At 36.3% G+C, this 15,123-nt stretch overlaps 2 protein-coding genes across 4 annotated transcripts in view; both read left to right on the plus strand.

The window, feature by feature from the left end:
• LPCAT2 (lysophosphatidylcholine acyltransferase 2) overlaps positions 1-15,123 on the plus strand; it is a 77,595-nt gene that overhangs the window by 45,928 nt on the left and 16,544 nt on the right. The window lies entirely within an intron of this gene.
• CAPNS2 (calpain small subunit 2) lies at positions 11,685-12,688 on the plus strand. Its single transcript, NM_032330.3, has one exon. It carries the CDS (start codon positions 11,758-11,760, stop codon positions 12,502-12,504), a length of 747 nt encoding a protein of 248 aa, NP_115706.1. The 5' UTR covers positions 11,685-11,757; the 3' UTR covers positions 12,505-12,688.

Here is a 15,123-nt window from a genome sequence, read left to right on the forward strand (position 1 = left end):
AATAGTAGCATCAAAGATCACAAATTATAGATCACCATAGCAGATATAATAATAATAAAATTTTTTGAAATATTAGGAGAATTATCAACACGTGACATGAAGACATGAAGTGAGCACGTACTGTTGGAAAAATGGCACTGATAGACTTGCTCATACAGGGTTGTTACAAATCTTCAAATTGTTACAAAAAATACATTGTCTGTGAAGTGCAGTAAAGCAAAGAACAATAACATGAGATATGCCTGTATGTAGAATTCTGAGTTGACTGTTCTTTTCTTTTAACAGTTTAATAATGTCTTACTTTAAGTGGCCTCCATGGTTTTGCAGCCTTACTAGTTGTTCTTCAAGTTTTGACTTTCCTCACCAATCCTCCTCTTATGGTATTTTGTCCAGAGGTAGTTGCTTATTGTATTTTGTTCAAAGTTGCCAGTTATAGTCGAGAATGATAGGCTGGCTAAAGATTCCATCCATCTTGGTGTGTAGCAACAGTTCCAGTTTTATATTTACTATTGGGAAAAAAAGTAGTTTGTAAAGAAAACATGGTTTGATGACCGAAATAACCAGGGCTTTTTTCTTTTTTCCCAGAGCACACTAAATTCTTCTAATGACTTATTCTGTGATCTCATAGATGAACTATTCTTTAACAAGATGCTGTTAAGCAACCTTCTTTTAGGTGTAGTGCCTGGACTTCTCTTCTGGGCTTGCATGCAGCATACAAATAATCTGTCATCATCTATGAAATACTAATGTATGACTGCAGCAGTACTACTATAAAGTGCAATGAAGATTTAGGGGAAGAAAGAAGTAAATTATTGTTTATTTGTTTTTTTCTTGAGACTGAATGTCACTCTGTCACCCAGGCTGTAGTGCAGTGGCATGATCTCAGCTCACTGCAACCTGTGCCTCCCGGGTCCAAGTGATTCTCCTGCCTCAGCCTCCCAAGTAGCTGGGATTACAGGCATTCGCTCCTACACCTGGCTAATTTTTATATTTTTAGTAGAGACAAGGCTTCACCATGTTGGCCAGGCTGGTCTTGAACTCCTGACCTCAGGTAATCCACCCAACTTGGCTTCCCAAAGTGCTGGGATTACAGGTGTGAGTTACCACACCAGCCACAAGTAGATGATTGGATGTAACTGCGCAAGTTGGAAAATTAGAGGTACCTTTTTACTTGTATGATTACTAATATTTCTGAGATTTATATAGCATTTTCCACTATGGTTTTAGAAACCATGCAAGTAATTTTAAATAAAATGTATGTATATATGAAACTAGTGACGGGAAGGAATATGGCAGGGATGTACAAACCAGGACAGGAGATAGGGAAATAGGAAGGGACATGAAACAGGGACAAAGAACGAAGTTTATAGCATATCTTAGACATTGTGCTCATCAGGATTTTTAATCAAAATTAAAAATAGTATCTGTAGAGCTTTCCCTGTCCTTCAGGTGTCAAACTATTATAGCTAGCAGTTACAGAATTGTTATGACACCAGGGCCGGGCGCGGTGGCTCACGCCTGTAATCCCAGCACTTTGGGAGGCCGAGGTGGGCAGATCACGAGGTCAGGAGATCGAGACCATCCTGGCTAACACGGTGAAACCCCGTCTCTACTAAAAATACAAAAAAAATTAGGTGGGCGTGGTGGCTGAGGCAGGAGAATGGTGTGAACCCAGGAGGCGGAGCTTGCAGTGAGCCGCGATTGCGCCACTGCACTCCAGCCTGGGCGACAGAGCGAGACTCCGTCTCAAAAAAAAAAGAGAAAGAATTACTGTGACACCAGTTCTGTCTTTTGATGATTGATGATACCTGCCAACACCCTCATTGTTTGTACAGCACTGTTAACTATAGGAGGATTTGAGTGGGGAAGGGGATATAAACCAAAGATTAAAATAACTGCCAGCTAGCTGATTGACTAACTCATACTAGAGATAACAATTGGCCCAGGCAGTTGGAAGACTGGTGAGCCTTTGCAGCCTATTTGGTTACCGCATTTTCGCATGAACTGATTTGGTAGGCTGACATATTATTTTATAATTGTGGGGCTTTTTTTGATGTTGTTTGTTTGTTTGTTTTACTTCTTTGTATGATATGTCTGAGGTTTAGATATAAACCGTAACTGTTCTTCAAAGCACTTTTCTTTTGATCTCCAACATACTGGAAGGTAGAGAAAATAGTCTGGAGAATTAATGATTAATGCATTTTCACCTTTCTTTCCTTCCTTTTTCCTTTTTTCCTTTCTCTATCTCTGTCTCTCTATCTCTCTGTCTCTGTCTCTCTCTCTCTGTCTTCTTCTCTCTCTCTCTCTTTCTGTTCTGAACACACCTGAATGTCTGTGCCTGTGAAGATTTACTTTGTTTTGAGAAGCTGAATTGTGCAATTGATGCCACACCTTATACACATACCCACTTTCCATGCTAGGCTTGTTTTCTCAGTCTCTGTGAGTGATTTAGCAGAGGGAAGTTTGATGGGAAAGGCAAGAAATTTCAGCAGCTCCATAGTTTGTTTCTCTCAGGGTAGTTTATCTTGCTAAACTAAGTACACAATGGGAGGAAGGATGGGAAAGAGAAAAGGTAAGGTGTCCCTGTTGCTCTTTCAGCAGCTAGAAATTCCTGTAGTGGAAAATGCTCCCATAAGCCCTTCCCATGTTCCCTTCCCACTTTATCCTCCTTTCCCCCTTTCTTCTTTTCTTTTCTTATCTTTCCTCAAGTCTAGTGCTATTGTGGTTGGCATTTGGGGGATGGAGGGAAAACCTCAATATCTCTCCACCATTCTTTTACTTTTTCTTCCCACCTGCATTCTTGGTTCGTCTACAAAAACTTCATAATGGTTTTTGTCTCAATTTATCCTACAAAAATATGCTATTGGCTCCTTCTAACATGTCTTTACATTCTCAGATATTTGATGGCAGACAGTTTGAAGGCCCAACAAAAATGTGGTATTCATGATCCAAAGCATGGCATAGTTCACTAGTTTGGGATAATTTCCTTTGGAAAGGTCTCACATCTTTGAAAAACAAAAAAGACCCTTTCCGTCTTTGGGTTTAATTTCGCTTCTTTATTTTCATGAACTTGTTCTTAACTCTCTGCTTCACAGTTTCATTGGGGATTAGTTAAATGTCCAGATGAGTGAGAGCTAAGAGCTTAAACAATGGTTTAAAACAATGACTTCTCAACATTTTATATGTTTATAATTCAGATTAAGAGTAGACGTTATGCCAGCACACTTGAAGGGATTCAAAGACACTTAACAAGATTAGGAAATTTTTACACTGGCTAAATCAGAAGTAATTATAGCACAATCATTTTTACAGTTATAACAATGTCTTGCAATGTCCAAACAGCATCATTGTTCATTTCATCCTCCTTCAGCACCACATTATTCAGCAGTTGTATGCTGCCCTGGCAGCGGTATCTTCTGTACCTATAAAACAGTTCTCACATATTTCTGTAAGCACATAATTTTTTTTGCAAACTTGCCAATATACCATATTATCTGCCTCTTACCTCCTACCACAAGCAAGTCATATCTCTTCCACACTACATCTCAAGATGCATTCATCTTAATTTTCTATCTAACACTGTCACCATACTCAATAGCAGCAAAGCTATATTTCAGTCAGGAAACTTTTTCTGTAAAGGACCAGATAGAAAATAGTTTTGACTTTGCAGACCACATGGTGTCTGTTACAACTATTCATCTCCACTATTATAGAGCAGAAATGGCCATAAAAATACATAGATGAATAGCATGACTATGTCCCAATAAAACTGTATTTGCAAAACAGGCCCAGATTGGATTTGGCCCACCAGCTGTAGTTCGCTGGTCCCTACTGTATTTCCTAAGCTGATGAAAACAAAGCATGCTCATAGGTTTAAGAACTGGATTGAAGGATTACTACAAGTCACTATAAGTCTGACTTATAGTGATTGTTATTAATTTGTGGGTATTCTACATCTGATTTAAAGGGATCACTAAGACTCTTTATTATTGACTAATCTGTCTAGCTCTTGTTACTATCCTCCCATAGTTGTAAGTAGTGGTGTATCATTCATCTTCACAGATGAAAGGAAAAGAGTGAGGAAATTGATTTCTAATTCTGAGCTGTAGCCTGGCATTAGCTCACTTTCTCTTTTTACCAACACCATTATGTGCATCATAGATTATTCCTTAGTAAAATTTAGATAGGTGATTATGATTTCCATTCTGTAAGAAATTTAACAATGGTCATGATTTTTCCCATTTCTGCTCCTAACAAGTACTTAGTTCTTCTGGCATTACTATGTACTTTGTTTAAATACTGGACAGGAAAAGTTTGTGTATACTTTAGCACTTTGGCAATCCAGCCTTCTTAGCTATTGTAAACTTCTGTAGATGTTTTATTACTGTTTCACATTATGTGGAATGAATGTGTTTCTTTATTCCAAGTTTTTCCTGTCTGCCCTGTTCTTGTTCTTGGTATTAGTTCAAGTGTTAAATCTTGAGTGCCAATAATAACAAACATCCTTGCCTGCCCCTTCCTGTTACAGAATGTAGGGTGCTGTAGTGTGCAGGTTTTCTGCTCATGCTGAGAGTTAGGACAGGGCACTTAGGTGGCTTAAATGACTGGAAACAAACAGTAAAGTCTTCTATATTTTAAGTTTCCAGTTAACGTTTTATATGTAATACAGTATTTCATAATTCACATGAAAAGAACCATTTTGATTCCAATCCCAGTTACTCAGGATTTGCTATATGAAGTCTATTCCACAACTTATATGATACAATTTGAAAAAAAAAAAAAAAAGGCTACAACTTTCTGAGTGTGACACATAAACTTTTCTATTCAGTTGTATAAGCTGCCTTGAAAGTTTGGTTCTATATGTCTGAGTATTTCCCTATTCAATTCTCAGGTTCACTTAGCTCCTCCATTTAGTCCATCACAGTATTTTCTATGTCTGAGTGTAGTTAACTAAAATGTCCATTTAGACATGAGAATTATATGCTTTACTTTTGGCTTCTCAATGCAAGTATACTTGGGAGATGCACAGAGGAAACAGAAAGGAGACTGTAAAATTAAAATGTAACTTTTTAAACTAGAGCAAGGGAGTAATTAGTGGCCTCCTCCAAGAGCACAAGGAAGTAAAGAACAAGGCTTTGTAAAAAGAAAATTGTGTCAGACCAATTTAAATTCCCTCTATGACAGAGTGACAGTCCAAGATGATAAGGAAAACCAAATAGATTTCATCTGTATGGACTCTAGAAAGGCTTTTGATTTCATCCAACATGACATTCTTATCAACAAATTAGGAAGGTCTGGTCCAGATCATATTGCAGTTAGATGAAGGCCCCACTTGACAGAAAGGCTTCATCTAAAGTGGGAGTTGTGAGTCCTTCTGTGTTATTCTAGACGAGGTTCAGTTCCCCTTGGAATTCTGTTTGGAAAGCAACATACTTAATAGGTTGCAGTCACCACACAATATGTCAAAGTGGGAATAAGGGTAAGTGAGCATGTCTTTAAAAGTTGTAGAACCAGACCCAGATAAAGAAAGATTAAATTAAATTAACATATAGCATAAAAAGGTATAGGCACCAGAAGGAAACTAAATACAAGAATGATGTTGCTGTCACAAATCTAGATTCACAGAATTGTAGAGCTAAACAGACCTTTGGGTATCAAATTGCCCATCTTCTTCATTTTGCAGAAGATTGCCAGCTCAAGAGAGGAAGTTACATGCCCAAGGCCACACAGCTGGTTAATTGCAGGACTGAGACTAGAATTCCTAGTTTGGTATTCTTTTTTACTACAAACTGTCACTATTTTTAAAAAATAATTCTCTTGAGGCATATTTTACATATCCTAATTCACCCAAGTATACAATTCAATAATTTTTTTTTTGTAAATTTACCAAGTTGTGCAGTCATCAACTTTCAAGCAGTTTTAGAACATTCCCATCACCCCAGTATGATTTTTTATGTCATTAACTGTTAGTTCCTGTCACCTACTTATCCCCTAGCCCTAGGCAAGCACCAATCAACTTTCTATCTGTATAGATTTGCCTTTTCTGGACATTTTATATAAATGGAATCCTATAATGTATGTCTTTTGTGTCTGGCTTCTTTCACTTAGCATAATGTTTTAAGGTTTATCTATCTTGTAGCATGTATCAGTCATCATTTTATTGCCAAATTGTATTCTTTTATGTGGATATATCGTATTTTGCTTATCCATTTGCCAGTTGGTAAACATTTAGGTTGTTTCCATTTTTGGACTATTTTGAATAATGTTTTTAATAACATTGTGTCTCATTGTGTACTTTTTAAGTCTAATAACTTTGTTCCCCAAATTGGGACTAAATTATCCATCAGATGTGGCTTCTTCCCCTCCTATACTTTTTTTTTTTTTTTGCAGATATGGATGGTAGAGTTCCCACAGACAGCAATTAAGGTTGCTATTAATGTTCTAATAAATAGCCATAGGGGATTAAATCATCCAGAGGAGAAAAAGCTTGTTAATCTAATAATAGTCTTTTATTCTATGATGGCTTATGAGAAACTGTTAGCCAAATGCCCTCCATCTTCACGGAAAATAAATGAGAAGAATTGGATTTAAACCACAGCAAAAAAACACTTCAGATGGGCACAAGGAGGCACATTTTATATGACAGTCGATATTATCAAGTTAATTTGCAATATTATAAAAACAAAGTTCATGTAATTTTCTCTGAGAGAAGCTTATATGAATGGGTTTAAATCTGTCTAAAGCCAGATGGCCCCTTGTGATTCCCTAAAAGGAAGAGAGTTCTTTTGTGATACTTTTGCTGAGTAGTTAAAGAAGACATTTGGTTTTTGGTGTTCACAGAGGCCATTTCATTGTGCCTATGAGAAATAAAATCAGTTGTTGGAAAGTTTTACACAAACCACTCAGTGTGGCAGAAGACAGGACATTGCTCTCATGTCCTAGACAGAGCGATGTCCCTTGGCTACTATTCTCTCCCTAATAATAGCTAGAATAATCATTATTCAGTTCTAGAATTACATAATTTCCAAAGTAATTTCACATCTAATCTCCTTTTGACTTTACATTTGAGCTGTCAGTAGTTTCTACAATTACTTGTGAGAGAGACTCTGCCACATAGCAGTTCAAACCCCCTTCCAATCTGATTCCATTTTATTGATCTCCCTTTATCTCTCATCACTCCTAGCAATAGAGTCTCATCTCATTGTACTATTCACCATCTCTTGAATACCTCATATCCTTTAGCTCTTCTGTGTTTTTGCTAGACTGTCCTTTTATATCCCTTATCTATTTGGAGAACTCTGAGACTCAGCCTGTAGTCAGGCCTACACATGATCTCTTCTATAGGTAAATGTTCTCCTTTCCTTTGCCTCAGTAGAATTCATTGATCCCTTTTTGTGTGCCTATACTTGTTTGATATCATAGGACAGTGTACTAGCTGCGTGACCTTGGATAACTAGCTTAACTTTTCTGAATTTTTCTTACCTTATCTAAAATACATTTGTATCTTTCAGAGGAATTCAATGAAACCTAAATACTAAAACATATATATACAAATATAATAGATTAGTATTGATAGTAGAAATGTGAACACAGACTTCATATTATAATTATACCAGTTTCCTGTAGTTCTACTTGATTTTTGAGCACAGCCATCCTGCTTTATTCACCTTTGTAACCTAAGTACTGAGCCCAAGTCCTGATACATAATAAATCAGATTGAATCATTTGAAGTAAGCAAGGGCGATATTATTATTATCATTTTGTAGATTCGAAATTGAGACCCCCAAATGCTAAGTAATATAATGACTTAATCATTAAGTCCTAGCTACTTTTCCCCAAGTTCCCCAGTAGAACTTCCAATAACCTCTGGAGGACCTGTACTCTGACTATAACTAGTATTAAAGGTAGGATTTCTCAAAGTATTATCCAGGCTACCTGTTACAGACTGACTTCTGAAGATGCTTATTAAAAATATAAAATCAAATCTCAAAAATATACTGTTGAGGGGGGAAAAAGCTAGACACATAAAACCAGAAATGAAAGAGAAGACATTGCTACCAATTTTACAGAAATAAAAAGGATGATGAGTGAGTACTACGAACAACTGTATGCCAACAGATTGCATAAGCTAGATGAAATTGTCAAATTCCTACACAACCTACCAAGACTGAATCATGAAGAAGTAAAACATATGAATAGACCTATAACTAGCAAAGATATTGAATCAGTAACCAAAAACCTCCCAACAAAGAAAAGCCCAGGACCAGTTGGCTTCACTGGAAAATTCCACCAAACATTGAAAGAAGTACTAACACCAGTTCTTTTCAAACTCTTCCAAATAATTAAAGAAGAGGGAATACTTTCTGATTCATTCCATGAGGCCAAAGTCAGATAAAAACACTTGGAGAGAAGAAAACTACAGACCAATATGCCATATGAACATGGATGCAAAAATCAACAAAATACTAGCAAACACAATTCAACAGCACACTAAAAGTATTATACACCATGATCAAGTGGGATTTATTCCTGGAATGCAAGATGGTTCAATATATGAAAATCAATTAATGTAACACAGCATATTCTCAGAATGAAGGGGAAAAATCACATGATCATCTTAACAGATGCAGAAAATGCATTTGACAAAATTCAGTACTCTTCCCTGATAAAATCACACAACAAACTAGAAGGAAAGTGCCCCAACATAATAAACACCATATATGAAAAGTTGATAGCTAACATTGTGTTCAGTGATGAAAAGACTGAAAGCTTTTCCTCTAAGATCAGGAATAAGACTAGGATGCCCACTCTCATGCTTCTACTAACATGGTATTGGAAATCATCGCGAGAACAGTTAGGCAAGAAAAAGAAATAAGAGGCATATGAAATAGAAAGGAAGAAGTAAAATTATCTCTGTTAACAAATGATATGATCTTATTTGTAGAAAACCCTAAAGATTACCCCTCACACATACAAAACACAGAACTAATTAAGGGACTTAGCAATGTTACAGGATATGAATCAACACACAAAAATCAGTTGCATTTTATACACCAACAATGAACAATTCTGAAAAGGAAACTAAGAAAACAATTCCATTACAATGGCATAGAAAAAATTAAAATACTTAGGAATAGACTTCAAGAAGGAAGCTAAAGACTTGTACACTGAAAACTACAAAGCACTGCTGAAAGAAATTGAAGAAGAGACAAATAAATGGAAAGATATTCCATGTTTATGGATTAGAAGACAATATTAAGAGTCAGTACTTCCCACAGTGATCTACAGATTTAAAGCAATCCTTTTCAAAGTCCCAATGTTTCTTTACAAAAATAGAACAATCAATCCTAAAATTCATAGGGAATTTCAAGGGACACTGAATAGCCAAAACAATCTTGAAAAAGAATAGCAAAGTTGAAAGCCTGACATTTCCTCATTTCAAACCTTACTTCAAACCTACAGTAATCAAAACAGTGCAGCACTGGTTTCAAGAAAGACATATAAGCCAATGGAATAGAATAGAGATCCCAGAAGAAACCCTTGTGTATATGGTCATATGATTTTCAGCAAGAATGCCAAAACCATTCAATGGGGAAAGGACGGTCTTTTCAACAAATAGTGCTGGGAAAATTATATATCCACATGCAAAAGAATGAAGTTGGACCCTTAACTTACACATATACAAAAGTTAACTCAAAATGGATCAAAGATCTAAACATAAGAGCTGAAACTATAAAACTCTTCAGTGAAAACAGAGGAAAAGCTTCATGACACTGGATTTCTCAATGATTTCTTGAATATTACGCCAAAAGCACAGGCAGCCAAAGAAAAATAGATAAATATGACCACATACAAATTTTAAACTTTTGTGCATCAAAGGACACTAACAACAGAGTGGAAAGGTAACCTACAGAATGAAAGAAAATATTTACAAATTATATATCTGATAAGGGATTAATATCTAGAATATTTAAAGAACTCCTGCAACTCAACAACAAGAAACCCAACAAATAACCAGATTTTAAAATGGCCAAAAGATTTAAATAGACATTTTTCCAAAGATCTTCTTTGGTCAGTAAGTATTAATACATTAAAAGATGCTCAACATCATTAATCATTAGGGTAATGCAAATCAAAACTACAATGTTATACCACTTTACAGCCATTAGGATGGCTATTATTAGAAAACAAAACAAAAGAGAAAATAACAAGTGTTTGCAAGCATATGGAGTAATTGGAACTCTTGTGTATTGCTGGTGGGGATGTAAGTGGTACAGTCAATAAGGAAAAGCGTATGGTAGTTCCTTAAAAAGATAAAAATAGAATTATCATATGATTCAGCAATTCCACTTCTTGGTATATACCCAAAAGAATTGAAAGCAAAGACTCAAACAAATATTTGTATACCCATGTTCATAGCAGCATTATTCCCAATAGCCAAAAGGGCAACCCAAGTATTCACCAATGGGATAATGGAAAAACAAAATGAGTATATTAATGCAATACAATATTATTCATCATTAGAAAGGAAGGGAATTCTGACACATGATACAACATGGATGAATCTTGAAGAAATTATGCTCATTGAAATAAGCAAGTCACAAAAGAACAAATACTGTATGATTCCACTTATATAAGGCATGCAGAGTAGTCAAATCATAGAGCTAGAAAATAGAGAGATGGTTACCAGGGGTGGGGGAAGGGGAGAATGGGAGTTATTCTTTAATGGGTACAGTTTCAGTTTTGCCAGATGAAAAAAGTTCTGAAGATAGCTGGTGGTGATGGTTTCACAATGCAAATATACTTAATGCCACTGAACTCTATACTTAAAAATGGTTAAAATAGTATATTTTATGGCATGTGTATTTTATCACAATTTTAAAACATTTAACATTTTTATAATGAAAAAGGAATAAATGAAAGAGTCTGTACTGTCTGATTTAATTTATTTAAGGTGCAAAAATAAATCTATGGTGTTAGATGTCAGGACAGTGGTTATCCTTGGAAGACGGAAGTAACTAGAAAGAAGTATGAAGAGGCCTCTGAGATGTGTGCAGTCTGTGAAATTCTTTGAGCTATCCATTTGTGATTTATATGATACATTTTTTACATGAATGTTACATTTCAAAAAAGATTTTAGCAATGTCGATCACAGACACCACAGCAGCCCTATGGAATCAGAATCTCTGGGAGTGGAAATTCAGGACCTTGCATTTTAAAAATCTCCCTTCTAAATTTTTCTTAAGACTACTGGATTTTGAGAATCTTTGCTAAAGGAAGAGGATTAAATATTCTTCCAATGCCCAAGATTTCTTCAATTCTATTCTAACAATAAATATTTCTTAGAGAATAAATTTTTGATTTCCTTGCATCATTTACCTTTTTCCTGTTAGGAAAATGCACATCATTTTTTAGGTGCTGAGACAGAGGACTAAGAAATCAATGACATAAAAATGCATACTTTAATATTTTTTCTTTAAAACTATTATCCTAAGGTGTCCTACATACTATAATTTATAAGTATCTGGAAGAGTGAAAACAATTTTATTGAGGCCTTGTAAAATATGGCAGGTGCTAGGACCTCATGGAACTCAGGTATCTTCAGTAGGATGTGAAACATCACATCATGGGGCGTGGTGCAGTGTAAGCAGGTAAAGAAAAGCCAGTTCTTCCACATGTAAACTACTTGAACTCCATTTCATCTTTTTTCATACCATCTCTAAGATTGCTGCCGCATTTGCTTGTTAAACTGAAAGCATGTTTCTTGCAAAGGCTCTATTGGAAGGAGCAGATCGAGGTCTTGGAGAAGCTCTTGGAGGCCTCTTTGGAGGAGGTGGTCAGAGAAGAGAAGGAGGAGGAAGAAATATTGGAGGGATAGTTGGAGGAATTGTGAATTTTATCAGTGAGGCTGCAGCAGCTCAGTATACTCCAGAACCGCCTCCCACTCAGCAGCATTTCACCAGTGTGGAGGCCTCAGAAAGTGAGGAAGTTAGGCGATTTCGGCAACAATTTACACAGCTGGCTGGACCAGACATGGAGGTGGGTGCCACTGATCTGATGAATATTCTCAACAAAGTCCTTTCTAAGCACAAAGATCTTAAGACTGACGGTTTTAGTCTTGACACCTGCCGGAGCATTGTGTCTGTCATGGACAGTGACACGACTGGTAAGCTGGGCTTTGAAGAATTTAAGTATCTGTGGAACAACATCAAGAAATGGCAGTGTGTTTATAAGCAGTATGACAGGGACCATTCTGGGTCTCTGGGAAGTTCTCAGCTGCGGGGAGCTCTGCAGGCCGCAGGCTTCCAGCTAAATGAACAACTTTACCAAATGATTGTCCGCCGGTATGCTAATGAAGATGGAGATATGGATTTTAACAATTTCATCAGCTGCTTGGTCCGCCTGGATGCCATGTTTCGTGCCTTCAAGTCTCTGGATAGAGATAGAGATGGCCTGATTCAAGTGTCTATCAAAGAATGGCTGCAGTTGACCATGTATTCCTGAAGTGGGAACTGAGAAGTCAAGATCCTCCCTGGAGGACAGGACTGAAAACCTTGCCAAGCTGTACACAGTTGCTGATACCCTGTGCAACAGCTCTCATTTCCTGGCAAGCTCTTTCACAACCCTACATATTTCTGATCATGTGCTGCCTTTTACTGCTGAATTAAAACAGATATTTCACGAAAAATGTTCTGAGTGGTTTGTATATCAGCTTTTTGAGATTTGGATTTATATGGACTTGCATATATATGGTGGGGAGGTTGTGGGGTAGAGTTCTAATGGAGTAGATTTTAAAAGGTGTTGCTTATTTAGTGAATAAATTCCAAGGAGTAGGAACTTTATTATTGTTGTTATTGTTGTTAAGAATGAATTTTTTTAATCCTAGAATAAATCAAGAAAGCCCTCAGGAGATACATTTTCCATTTTAAAAAGTTGAGGAGAGAGGTTCAAAATCTGTTTTTCTTGTAATTTTATACCTGGTTTTCCCATTATGTAAAAAAATGAAAAGTGCTTTTTAGGAAACTTATTTAACCATAAAGAAACAGGTTCAGACAATGAAATTAAGCAGTTTTATATAAGGGTAGCATTTTTTTAAATGATGGAGCTACTATCTAAAATTCTAAAGTTCTTTAATTCTGTTTCTTTAGTAAAAAAAAGCACTAGCAATTTTGTTTTGATACATTTGTAAAGAGAGTCAAAGACATTGAGGAATAAAACAATATGCTCATAGTTCAAAAATGTCTCTAGCTGCCTTAATGAATCAAAATGTTTGCTCTTACACGTACTTCATACAAAATCAGGCATGCCCTGTTGACGTTAGCCAGCTCTTGTCGTGTCTTGTCCTGCCTTAGAGCAAGGAAAATTCTTTTGTTCATCTTTGAAAACTACAGGCAGGAAATAAGCAGCAAACAAAGAAAAACAAAAAAAGAAAAACACATGAACAGTAATCAGTTAAATGGAATGTAAACCAATATAGAGAACACATATTGCTGACTATTGCAATTATTCTCAGCCCTGGCTGCAATTTGGAATCACTGGGAGAGCTCTTTAGGAATACTAATACTTGAGTCTCCAAATATGTTAAATAAGACTTTTTAGAGGTGGGGCCCAGAGATGAATATGTTTAAAGCTCCCCAAGTGATTCTAATGATCAGCCAAGGTTGACAGCCTTGATTGCTTTGAAGTAGGGCCACCTCACAGTATTTTTCAAGCCTGTCTCAGCCAAAACTAAGGCCATGCAGGAGAGTCAGTGTTGCCAGCATTCAGGAGAAGGAAGATAGAAATACCAAGAAAATGCCACCCAAAAGCTGGGGTAGTTGTGCCTTTCTTGCGTACAGACCTTGGTTTGGCTTTATAATTTTGATAATAGGCTAATATAGCAGAGCAAACAGAATCCAGGATTCCGGTGCCAGTAGACACAGCTAGAGAGGCTACATTTGCAAGTGCTTGGTTCCTCTGTCTGCTATTTAATTGGTCTCTACCCATTCTGCTTCTCTGATTTTTAATGCATTGTCTCTATCCCAGGCTACTTTGGAGGGTCATCCCGAGTTTGCAGATAAATTCTTCCTTCCTCTTTGGACTCATTTAGAAGAAAGTTGTAACTATGGAAATGATGTAACTAGCCTGTTAACATCCCTCAGCTTCCTGTTAGAAATCCCCAGTGAAATGTGGAGAGGTTGGCTTTTGACCTTTGTGTTCACCATCATCACCATCATACAATATTTATGAAACACCACACACATATAATTCTGAACTGAGCCAAGCACAGAGATCACATCCACTTTCCTCAAGGGACTTGTAATTTAACCTTGGTCTGGTGTGCTACTTAGACCAGGTGTGGTTACATAAGAAGGAGGCTGCTGCCAGCAACCACACATTAATAACAATCTCTCTATTTTAGAATAAGTCCAGGAATATGTTAGGCATGGATGTAGTAAAGTAGCCAAGAAAGGGGAAAGCTGCCAGACATCTTTTAAATTCTCAGAATATTAGGTTTATAATTTAACCTTTCCATAGGATGGTTGTGGAAAGAACAATGTAACCACATTTTTGTTCCTCACTTTATTGTAAATGTTTCATAAAAGTTAAAACAATCATCTCACACTAGGAGTGGTATTATTGCCCTTGCTTCTCAAGTTGAGGGATTACCTACTTTTACAATTCTCTTCCAGCATGCTCATGGAAAAACACCCTGAAATTACCTAAGTTTCTCTCCTTTTCTCTTCTGAATTTGTATAAGTAACCTCAGACATCAGAGTGGATACTAGAACTAAAAAATCTGGACTTTTTCCAAGTAACCAAATATTTAGCATTGTGTAGAACCAATAGCCTAGCAAGTGATTGAATTTCTTAGTTTTCATTCAATATTTGATGTTTTAAAGGCACATTTTTAATGTTAGAAGCAATATTTAACTTGACACCTTTTTAAAAATTTGCCTGCTCTATATGCAAGACTATTTATAGCCTAAGATTTATATAATTCATATAACTCCATGCCATTATTCTTAAATTTCTGACATTAAGTAATTTAATCAATGTAAATTGAAAATCATACTCAGTGATAAAAATATGTGAAATTATACATCTACATTTTTAAATTTCAAAAGATCCCATGTGATTTTG

This window comes from Homo sapiens, chromosome 16, assembly GCF_000001405.40.
Source record: "Homo sapiens chromosome 16, GRCh38.p14 Primary Assembly".
NCBI lineage: Eukaryota > Metazoa > Chordata > Mammalia > Primates > Hominidae > Homo > Homo sapiens.

Coding starts and splice junctions, on each gene's coding strand:
- CAPNS2 (NM_032330.3), top strand. CDS start 11,758: ATGTTTCTTGCAAAGGCTCTATTGGAAGGAGCAGATCGAGGTCTTGGA.